The sequence below is a fragment of the Homo sapiens genome, chromosome 12 (assembly GCF_000001405.40).
Source record: "Homo sapiens chromosome 12, GRCh38.p14 Primary Assembly".
NCBI lineage: Eukaryota > Metazoa > Chordata > Mammalia > Primates > Hominidae > Homo > Homo sapiens.
In genome coordinates, this window is record NC_000012.12 from 29209411 (window position 1) to 29221906 (window position 12496).

Below are 12496 nucleotides of genomic sequence, written 5' to 3' on the forward strand. Positions count from 1 at the left end.
GAACCTGTTCAGCTCATAAAGTGGTGTCTTCCTTTAGGACAGATAGCATTTAATAGTTTTCAAAGGTCAGGTTGGGTCAGTAGTAGGAGTGGTGATTTCACTGCCTCTGACCCTGGGAAGAAGTTACTGCTGGCCCTTGAAATTCCAGTTCTGCTGGAGGAAAACTGGAAGATGGGTTTGCTAGGCTGGCTGTGTAGAAATGAATATTGTGGGCTTGCTTCCTTGCCACTAGTTTGTAAGAATATGTCAACTCTTTTCTGCTACAAAGAAGGATGTCTGCTCTGTGTGTGTGTGTGTGTGTGTGTGTGTCTGTGTGTGTAAAAGAAAGAATAAAAGAATGCGTAAAAGAAAGAATAGTGAACTAAAAAGCAGATGAGCTGATTTTAATTTCAGCCCTGCCTCACAATACTCATTTACATACACTAATTTTGTGACTTTGGCAATTCATTTAATTTCTTATGGTTTCTTATGCTTTTCTTACTTCATCTCATCAGCATCATAACAATTGTTATTAGGCAGGGTACAGTGACCCAGACCTGTAATTCTAGCACTTTGGGAAGCTGAGGCAGGAAGATTGCTTGAGCCCAGGAGTTCAAGACCAGCCTGGGCAATATAAGGAGACCTCTGTCTCTATAAAAATAAAAATAATCAACCGGGTGTGGTGGCGTGCACCTGTAGTCCCAGCTACTTGGAGGCTGAAAGTGGGAAGATCAATTGAGCCCCGGAGGTCAATGCTACAGAGCTAGGATCATGCCACTGCACTCCAGCCTGGGTGACAGAGTGAGAACCTCTCTCAAAATAAATTAATTAAATATTTATTAGTTAATTAGTTAAATTAATTCTGTTTTAGAAAAAAAGCAATTATTATCACAAGCTAGACAGTTTATCAGTGTTTACTCTAAGATACTCTAATCAAGGTAACAGAAACTCAAAAATACTATCCAAAGTCGGGACCTTGCAAGTGTCTATTTCAAGACTGATTTCCAAGCCCAGGTTCTTTGTGCCACCTCACACCAGAGGTGCATGTCGTCAGGAAGAGCTATGCCATAAGTGGCCAGCCATGTCTTCAGTTGCTAGTGGTTTGGCCTTATTGTATGTAAAAATATATTTATGTATATAAAAACAGTAGAGATTCTGGCAATAAGAATAGATGAATATTCCGCAGTGACTTAGGCTTTCTGTTACATATTCATTGTGATGCCAGTTGGCAGAGGACTAAGCTGGCCATTCCAAATATGATTTCTTTTTTAACTCTTGTAAAACTGTATTGGCTGGGCTCATGCCTGTAATCCCAGCACTTTGGGAGGCCAAGGTGGGCAGATCATGAGGTCAGAAGTTTGAGACCAGCCTGGCCAATATGCTGGAACCCCGTCTCTACTAAAAATAGAAAACTTAATCGGGTGCGGTGGCATGGGCCTGTAGTCCCAGCTACTCTGGAGGCAGAAGAATCACTTGAACCCGGGATGCGGAGGCTGCAGTGAGCCAAGATTGTGCCACTGTACTGGGTGTGACAGAGTGAGACTCCGTCTTAAAAACAAAAAAAAAACTATATCATTCTTATAAGTGGGAGAGTCATTTACTACTTTCATGCCTATAGTGTGTGTGTGTATGTGTGTGTGTGTGCATATATATATATTAGCCATATGTAGGTTTTCATGAAACTGATCTCTGTAGGGTTGATTTTTAGTCTGGCTTCTGCTGAGTTGCATTCTTCTTCTTAAGAATATCTTGTGGACCAGGTGCGGTGGCTCACACCTATAATCCCAACTACTTGGGAGGCTGAGACAGGAGAATTGCTTGAACCTGGGAAGCGGAGGTTGTAGTGACCGGAGATCACGCCACTGCACTCCGGCCTGGGCAATGGAGCAATACTCCGTCTCAAAAAGAAAAAAAGAATATCTTGAATATCTTGTGGGTGTTCTTACATAACCCAGTCAAAAAGACAGATAAGCTCCTCCTAGCCTCTTTCTAAGACTTTAAAGAGTGCTTTACATTTATGAAATGCATATACATTATTATATTTGACCGATCATAATGTTGTCACATAAGTCTATCCTAGCAAGTTAAGTATATCAACAAGTTTAGAAAACTATATTCAGAAAAATTCAGTGCATGTCTAGTAACTGGTTGGCTCAGGGTCAGAATGCAGGTTTTTCTGCTCCTATTGCAGTAGTTGTGCCATCATAAGCGAGCAACTGACCCTTTAAGTTACTGAGCTGCAATGGTGACTTACGAGAGAATCAACTCCCTGTAACTTCATAGCTGTAGAAAAATCATAGCTGCAGAAAAAATAGATTGAAAAAGATGGTGCTATGTGAGTGGCATCATGTTCTACCAAAATTCATATGGTGAAGTCTTAATCCCAGTAGCTCAGAATGTGACTTTATTTGGAAATAACTGTTGTCACAGATATAATTACTTAAGCCGAGGTCATCCCAAAGCAGAGTGGACTCCTAATCTAGTATGACTGGTATTCTTATGAAAAGGGAAAATTTGGACACAGAGACACACACACACACAGGGAGAAAACCATGTGAATAACGAAGTTTTGCTGTCATGAGCCAACAAAATACCAGAAGCTAGGAGAGAGAGGCCTGGAACAGATCCTTCCCTAGTGCCTTCAGAGGGATCAGCCTGGGTGACAGAGCAAGACTCTGTCTCAAAATAAATAAATAAAAGACAAATTCTCAAAGTACGTTCAGAAATATTTTATCCTATTTTTTGAGAACAAATACCTATTCATCAAGCTACTACCAATAAAATTATATGAATCTAATCCTGAGACAACTTAAAGCAAATACTTAAAAATCTGGCTTCCACTTCTACCTCTGCCTTAAAATTAAAATGAATATGTTCTTTTAGAAAAAAATAATTGCTGAATCTAGTGACCCATTTTAGGTCTTTATTCTTGCTGACCATTCTATTCCATTTACCCCTAACCACTAACTGTCCTTGGTAGTTCCACTCCATGATTGTGACCTCCATCCTTGGTTTCACTTTTACTGCTCTAACTGCTCTTCTCTGTCCTGTTTTAAATCTTCTATACTTACAATAACTCAGAATGCTATCTTTTATCTCCTTTTCTTATGTCTTCTTTTCCTATCATTTGGCATAATTACTCATAATTTATATTCTATTCCATATATAGATGACCCCCAAATTTGTGTCCAGCTTTGAATTCTTGCCAGGTCCCCAGACCTGAGTTTCCACCATCTCCTGAAATTGCCCTCCTACATTCCCAGCCAATACTGCAAACTTGAGATATCCAAATGATATTCATCCTTTTCCCCCATAAAACGGCATTACCAAGTTTTATTACCTAAACTTCTTTTTAACTACTTCTTCTTTCTCCATAATTATAACCAGTTGCTATAGTCTCATGGTTAGCAGAATCGTTTTTGCAGGAGCCAAACTTGGGTTTGAATTATCCTGCTATTAATAGCTGAATGCCCTTGGGCATGTTTCTTAACATCAAACAAGATAACGTGTAAAATACTTAGCTGAGTAACTTGCACAAAATAAGGGCTAAATAATTATTATCATTTTTCCTTTGTAGTGTCATTCATCCCTTCTTCATTCCACTAAGTCACAGGATAGGTTTTGTTGTCTCTTATCTAAAAATTACAATAGCATAATAATTGGTCTTTCCTTCTTCAAACTTCCTTCCCATATATAGTGTGTAGTCCATCAAATTTATCCCTACAGAATATCTCTGCCTTGTAAGTCTCCTATTCAGAAGCATTTGGCGTCTCACCATTTCCTCCTTCAAAGTGACAAAGTTCAGCTCCCTTAGCATGTGTTTTATTGTAGCAACAAGCAGAAGATGAGTAGGACTCTAATAATAGCCCTTACTGGAATAAAATTACTATGGGTAAAACCTACACAAATTCACTGCAGAGGCCATAGAACATTAATAGAAATACAAAATGAGGGCACATATGAGCACTGAATCATAAAGGCCCCTGCCATATATGAGTACAATAAAATTAAGTCTATCAGCCGGACGCGGTGGCTCACGCCTGTCATTCCAGCACTTTGGGAGGCCAAGGCGGGTAGATCACCTGAGGCCAGGAATTTGAGACCAGCCTGGTCAACATGGTGAAACCCTGTCTCTACTAAAAATACAAAAATTAACCGGGTGTAGTGGTGTACGCCTGTAATCCCAGCTACTCAGGCGGCTGAGGCAGGGGAATCGCTTGAATCCGGGAGACGGAGGTTGCAGTGAGCTGAGATCGTGCCACTGCACTCCAGCCTGGGTGACAGAAGGAGACTCTGTCTCAAAAAAAAAAAAAAAAAGATTAAGTCTATCTGTAATTGGTTTCCAACTTATTCTTCTTGCCCTATCCCCTTTGTTGCCTTCTACAAAATGTGTGCCGCAGTCAACCTAAACCATCTCCATCCTTCATGCTTTGACCTCCTTTAAGTAAACTTCCCTTTAAATGAATTTACCCAGCTCCACTCAACCCCAAGATGGCAAACTTTGTGGCAGTTAATGGAAGGAGTCTGATTAGAACCAATAATTTGTATAAGAAAACACCAGAGAGCTTTGGATTAATAATAAATATAATCTGAAGTTCCACTCCAGAGTTACCCCAAATCCACACCTCAAAGTTTCTTATTTTGCCTTCAGAAATGCCATCACATTTGAGCACACTTGCAAATTTAAGCACATTTCGTCATCCAAGTCATCAATTTTCATTTAATTTGTCAACCTGTCTTTCAAGAAGCTTTTAGCTTGGATGCGTTATTCCAATAATACTGAAAGAATATTGCTCTTCTGATTTGCTTAGTGATTTTATGCATGGTATTTGAGAATACCACTTGCTGATTAAATGTTGATGCAATATTTTTCCTAACCAGACTTCAGGCATATAAAGTAGGCCTTACTAGGAGCACATTACACACTCTAAATGAAGAGAAAAAAATTATTCACTCATTTCTTCATGTTTGTTGCCTATCATGTGCCAGAAAGTGTTCTAATTGCTGGTGAAACAGAAGTAATGAGACAGACGATGTTTCTGTCCTCGTGGAACTTACATTATTTAAGGAAAGCTGGTTTAGCAAATAAATAAATGAGAACATGAACCTAGAACACAAGAACATGAACATGAATAAGAACAGGAACATGGGACTGGGCACAGTGGCTCATGCCTGTAATCCCAGCACTTTGGGAGACTGAGGTGGGTGGATCATCTGAGGTCAGGAGTTCGAGACCAGCCTGACCAACATGGTAAAATCCATCTCTACTAAAAATAAAAAAATTAGCTAGGCGTGGGGGTGGGTGCCTGTAATCCCAGCTACTCAGGAGGCTGAGGCAGGAGAATGGCTTGAACCAGGGAGGTGGAAGTTGCAGTGAGCCAAGATTGCACCATTGCATTCCAGCCTGGGCAACAGAGAGAAACTCCATCTGAAAATAAAATGATAATAATAATAATAATAATTAAAAAAATAAAGAACGTGAACATAGGTGATATGACTGACGACAGGGAAAGAGAGAATTAGATTAGTGGGTGGCTAGAGAAAGGTGAGAAAGGCATTCTTGAGAAATTGAAATTGTGAGCTGAGACCTGAATGTAATAAAAGAAGCAGTCATGCTAAGATCTAGTGCAAGAGTATAATATTCAAAGAAGAGCGAAGGCAAAATCTCTGAGGCAGAAATGACTGTGGCATGTTCAAGAATCAGAAAAATTATTAAAGGACCTACAGTGTAGTCATGAGAGAGAAATGGATATGTAATGAGAGACAGCTCATGTAGGATCTTGATGTATAATGAAGAGTTTACATTTCATTTGATTAACAAAAATAGATACATACTTCTGAGCTAAATATGAAGACCATAGTACATAAAGCTTTATTAAATTTAAAAAACAAGAAACCTCATGCTTTTGTCTTGTATGTCCAACAAAGAGGTAGAAACAAAGAAAGGGAAAGAAAAATAAAAGATGTAGAAATGTTTGTAAGAAGATGAGTGAATGAGCTTAAGCTGTATATTGATGTTATGTTTGGTCTGTTGTTTTGGTTAAGCTCCCGTAGTCACAGGCATCTTTCATTTGTACATTATTTTTGACATGGAAACTGATCAAATAATTAAGAAACGTATCTGTTAAATAAAGAAAAATCCCACTTTCTTGGAAACAGTAATTTAGATGTTAGGAAAAAATCAAATCTGTTATCAATATGCACTTTTAGGTAAATTCAGTGTCTTTGAGGATGTCTGTAATAGCTTCATATTAACAAAATCTTAACTTTGAGGTAATTATCATTAAATATTTTAGAATCCAAACCACAGATTCTATGTTGGTTCCACTGTCACCAAGGCCTATCTTAGACACACTGTGGTTATAGTTTATAAATAAAATTAATATATCAATATATAAACAAAAATAGTCATTAAATGGAATGAATATGTGATATGCACAAATTATTTTTAAAAGAGTATAAGAACGATTTCCCTTACTCTCATTGAGTTTGAGGTCCAAGGAGAGCTTTAAATATATAACCATGGCCCTATGAATCCTTCTCCTCCTAGGGTTCACCCTTCTGCATCCTCATGGTCAACATAACTCTACCTCAGCTCTCTGGGCTGAGTTAGGGCACCCCAAATTGTGCCACAGGCTGAAGTAAACTTATATCCCTAACTGAATCCCTTGCCCTTCTGATTAAGCAAGATATTACCCAGATCTTCAGCTGGTCTCTGAAACCTCATGGGACTGTGACAATTTCCAGAGTGTTAGGAACTACCTTAAATTAATTAATCTAGAAACAGTTCTCATCTGACACTATCTACCTCCAGGCTCCTCCATGGTAATTTTCTTCAGGGAAGCCTTTTTAGAAAGCCCTGTCCTTCAGCAGTCTTATTTACAACGTCCCACCCAATGACTGCTCTATTTCACTGGTATCTTCAATGATACTGCCCAATACTGTTATGTTTTTATGTTACCAGGAATTTCCTCCCCTTTGGTTGTTGTCCTTTAGGGCTTTGGTCACACACAGTTCATGGAGTTGATGGGGATTGGGGATCTTGGGTTCATTGACTCTGGGAATCTCTTATTGCTCTCATGTGTACAGCAGATGCTGCAATGAGATAAGGATCTATGTCATTTTAAGCCTGATTCAGAAAGGGAAACTTCTACAAAATTTTACATGTGAGCGCCCACTGATTATAAAACCTTTCAAATCTCCTAACCCCATCAACTGCACTTTATGCCTTCACATCATAACAACCTGCAGCTAATAAGAAACAGCTGAAAAAAAAGGCTGCTGTTAGCCTTTTCAGGGGTTTTATTTTTCTTTCTGACAGCCCAGAACATATAGCATTTTGAGTTAATTTCAGGCATTTCAATATTTTAGACTTCCAAAAATATACCAAAATATAAGTCCAGCATTTTGCTTCCATAATGTCAAATTATTAAACTTTTCATATCACGTAGGAGAAACTAGATTTTATCAAAAGAGCTACAAAGCACTTTGGTGTACAATGGTAGATGTGTGCTCAGATATTCACAGTACTTTGCCAAAGAAACTAAACGAATAACAATAATGCAACACCAGAGCTATCCGTCATAAGGTAAGGCTCTCTAATCGCTGGCATTTAAAGACTAAAAGAAAATGACACATTTAAAAAATATTTTGGCTCTTTAGTATAACTTACCCCTACCAGGCACATGGTTAAAATGTAGGAGATTAGGATATTCTGACTAGAATGTAGGAAAAATAGATAAGTTATCATACACTTTTTAAAAAACTTCAAAAAACTACAAATAAAAATGGTCTAAAGAAATGAAAATTTAGAGAAGTCCTTTCTAGATGGGTGAATGCTAGAGGTCACTTTCCTGGAGGCATCTGCTCAGTCCGGGTATGGGAAGGTGGAGAATCTGGCTTGAGACCTTTCTGAAGAAAGGAGAAACAAGTATTACACCAAGAATCTTAGCTGGCATGACAGATTGCAACAGTAAAAACTGAACCCAAAACATAGAGCTGATTCTTCCTAGCTGCTGATTGTCCCCATGGGACTTTTGCTGAGTTTCCAGAAGAAGCAGTACAGGAAGCTGGAGGTGGGGTTAGAAAGGCAGAGAGAGATTTCCATTAACTCCTGGTGCTTAAAATCCAAAGTCAAGCTAGAAGAAAAAGCCTATAATACACACAGGACACATCTCATCCTAAAGATATTCAAAATCAGATGTGAGCTGGAACTTACCAAAATTTAAATTCAGCTTCAACCCAACTCAGTTCCTGATTGGATTGAAGTAATTAAACTCTCCCTAGCTGTCTAACAGAGAAAACAGTATGCCTCTCTGGAGAAAAATATATTTACTCCCCTTTATATGGTTTTTTAAAATACAATGTTCCAGCATAAAATAAATAATTATGACAGGAAACTGTGACCCATAGTCAAGAGAAAAAAGCTAGTCAATAGAAATAGCACATAGAGGACACAAATGTTGGAATTCACAGGAAAGCTCTTTAAAATAACTATTGCAAACGTGTTAAAGAAATTAATAGAAAAGAAACATAAAATGAACTAAGAAATGTAGAATTCCAAAAAAGAAATGGAATTCTGAAGAAGAAGACAAAGAGGAGGAGGAGGAGGAGGAGGAAGAATAAATAATAAAATGATACTGTAGAACTGAATGATAAATATCTAAAATTAAGATGGGCTTGATTGGCCGGGTGTGGTGGCTCACGCCTGTAATCCCAGCAGTTTGGGAGGCCAAGGCGGGAGGATCACAAGGTCAGGAGATCCAGACCATCCTGGCTAACACGGTAAAACCTTGTCTCTACTAAAAAATACAAAAAAAATTAACCAGGTATGATGGCGGGCACCTGTAGTCCCAGCTACTGAGGAGGCTGAGGCAGAAGAATGGCGTGAACCTGGGAGGTGGAGCTTGCAGTGAGCCGAGATCATGCCACTGCACTCCAGTCTGGGTGACAGAGCAAGACTCCGTCTCAAAAAAAAAAAAGATGGGCTTGATTATATAATATTCACAGAAGAGAGAAAGAATCTGTGAACTTGAAGGTGTATTAATAGAAATGATCCCAACTGAAGCAAGGAGAAAAGAAAGGAATGAAAGCTAAAACTGAACAGGGAATGAAAAAGCACATGGACAATCTCAAACAGTCAAATATATGTGTAACTGAAGTTCCAGAAAGACAGGAAAAAGAATAGGGCAGAAGAAATATTTGAAAAGAATCACTAAGAGTTTTACAAAATTGGTTTTTAAAATGTTAACTCACATGGTAAAAAATCTTAGGTTATGCCAGTCAGGATGAACACAAAGAAAATAACACCTAGAAAATGACTGTAAAACAAAAATACAGAGAAAAATCTTAAAAGCAGCTAGAAGGGGAAAAAGTTATATTTAGGAAAAGCACAGTGAGCATAACGGCAAACTTCTCAGAAACCATGAAAATCAGAAGATAATGGAATGATATATTTTAAATGCTGAAAATAGAAACCTTCCGTGTTAGAATTTTATTTATTTATTTATTTATTTATTTAGAGACAGGGTCTTGCTCTGTCGCCCAGGCTGGAGTGCAGTGGTGCCATCTCAGCTCACTGCAACCTCTGCCTGGGATCAAGCAATCCCCTTTCCTCAGCGTCTTGAGTAGCTGGGACTACAAGCACATGAGACCATGCCTGGTTAATTTTTGCATTTTTGGTACAGACAGGGTTTTACCATGTTGCCCAGGCTGGTCTTGAACTCCTGGGCTTAAGTGATCCACCCACCTTTGCCTCCCAAAGTGCTGGGATTACAAGCATAAGCCACTGTGCCCAGCCCACGTTAGAATTCTATACCCCAGATAGGTACTATTATTACCTACCTCACAGGATTTATTTATATGAGGATCAAACAGCCTGGCCCATAGTAAACACTAAAGTAATGTTCAATACGTAAAATAAAAATTACTCTGCTGCTGGGATTGTAAATTGCTATAATCTCTCTTGGGGAAAAGAATACCTGAAGCAAGTGGAACAATATCATAACATAACATAGGTGGTATTTATTTTCCTCATACTTTTACATAAACAGGAACTTTCAATATTGTTAAAGCAGGACAGGTCTGATAGAGGACACACTCCATGAGAACAGGGACTTTGTTTAGTTCACTGCTGTACATCAGCACCTAGATGAGTACCTAGGGAATCTGCATCATGGATATGAGAAAACCTTCTGATAATAATTTATAGTAAATGTGTTTTAACTCTGAGTAGACAAGAAAAAAAAAAGAGAAGGAACCATTGAAATTTAGATATATTTAAATGCTTAAAAACTGAAACTGGCTTGGTTACATACATATAAGTCATTCTGCCAATGCCCATATCTGTGATGCTGACAGCAGCTCTTTCATTTCCAGAAGACCCCCAAAGGAGGAAAGTGATATCATCGTTTTCCTTTATCCTAAAAGCTATGTTTTTTTAAGAACTCAAATAAAGAAAACTTTTCTTTTCCTTTTTGAGGATGAAAAATTGAATGAAAAAGAGAAACATTCAAGCCAGATTTAGAAACCCAGAATCTGAAGTGTTTTGGAGCCAATCTTTTATTATTGTGCTTAAAATCAATTATTTTATTTTGTATTTGATTACCCATTACAAATCAAGGAATTTTAGAGCTAGTGGGGTACTTAGATATTATGATCCCTGCACATTACAAATGATCCAGTTGAGTCCTGGCAGTAGTCACAGTACTAATTAGAAACAGAGCTGGCACTAGAACCCAGGGCTTTGCTTTGACGTTCAAGGTGAATTTTTAATGGACTCTGGCTGTGTCAATTTTTCGTTAAGACCTCTTTCACTTCCTCCATGCAGACCCTTTCTTGGTTACATTTTCCCTGATGATGAATGTCAGATATAGATTTAGAGCATCACCCACTCAAAGCTCTTTCCCGGAGTACAGTGCAAGACTTAGTCTAGTTTCTTTCCATAAATCAAAAGGTATAGGGAATCCTATGGGTTAATGTCTTTGAGCATATAGGAAAGATTTTAATTTGTAGTAATCCTTAAGAGAGGTGGAATTTGTGCTCTTAAATGACTTGCTACGTTTCTCTATTAATTTAATGGATGAGTATGCAGAAATCTACAATTTGAGCTTTAAAATCAAGGCCTTTTTACTATTTATACTTCAAGAAAATATGGTGGTTACCTATTTAAAAAGTAACTGACAAAAAATTGTTTATGATATTTAGTGTAAATGCCCATTTTTTTCTCCATTCATCAACATTTTCTCTCATTGTTAGCAGTGTAACATCCCAGTCACACGGCACCAAAGTATGTTACCAGTGGGATATCCATACGATTCTGTAGCAACCTCAATTCTTGCCTCCTCAGAAGAAAGAATTTGACCAAGGGACAAAAGGCACAGTGAGAGTCCGAGGCAAGAGTGAACGTTTATTTAAAAAGCTTTAGAACAGGAATCAAAGGAAGTAAAGTACACTTGGAAGAGGGCCAAGCAGGCGACGTGAGAGATCAAGTGCATGGTTTGACCTTCGACTTAGGGTTTTATATGTTGGCATACTTCTGGGGTCTTGTGTCCCTTCTCCCCGATTCTTCCCTTGGGGCAGGCTGTCCTTATCCACATTGGGCTGCCAGCGCTTGGGAGGGGCTACTGGCGCAGTGTGTTTACTGGAGTTGTGCGCATGCTCACTTGAGGCATGAAGTGAGCGTGCGTACAACTCCAATAACTGGTAACAACACTCCCTTACCAGGGGCGTATTCCTGTAAGGTCATATACCCGTAAAATCAGCCGCTTTACCTCTTAGTGCGCATGCTCAAGCCCACTTGCCCAACTCCAGAGATCTTATCTGGAAGCTAATCACCAGTTTCAGGTTTTTCTACTTATTGGGAGAACTGCCTTTCCCTGATGCCGACTAGGACCAATTATTATTTTAGAGAAAGTGTAATAACCACCTGACCATCATCTGATGGTTGCCTGACATTCCTGGTCGGGGCGGGGAGCCTTTTCCCACCCTGCTCTTGCCTGACCAGCTACCTACTGTAACATAACCTCTTCCCTGTCTCCCAGTTAGGGTTTCTGCAATCTGACTGATATATTTGGAAAACTAAAGGATTGTTTTCAATTGGAAAATGCAAATATCATAACTATTAATTCCTTCTAGTACACACATATTCAGACTGAATGAAATTTAACTACTTTAAATACCCCATCTATTCGATTTCTCTTTTGTCTTTCAAGTTTGTCAAATTATTTTAGACACTTTATTTCCTGCTAAATGGTCTATCTCAAAGCCAGTTTTCTCCCCCAATTTAATCCTGCAGCCAGGCATGATGCTATATACGTAAGAATGATATATCATTATTATTACCACCAATTTTAGAAAATGAGCTCGCTTTAGGGTCATCCTGAGTTGACTTTAAACCTTTTATTTTTAATGGGAAATACAATTACAGATGCTGCTCAGAGAATTGCTTCAAATTTTCCAAACTTGCTTTTTTTTTTGAGACGGAGTCTCGCTCTGTCACCCAGACTGGAATACAGTG

At 38.6% G+C, this 12496-nt stretch overlaps 1 protein-coding gene across 3 annotated transcripts in view; it reads left to right on the forward strand.

The window, feature by feature from the left end:
* FAR2 (fatty acyl-CoA reductase 2) overlaps positions 1 to 12496 on the forward strand; it is a 186339-nt gene that overhangs the window by 60133 nt on the left and 113710 nt on the right. The window lies entirely within an intron of this gene.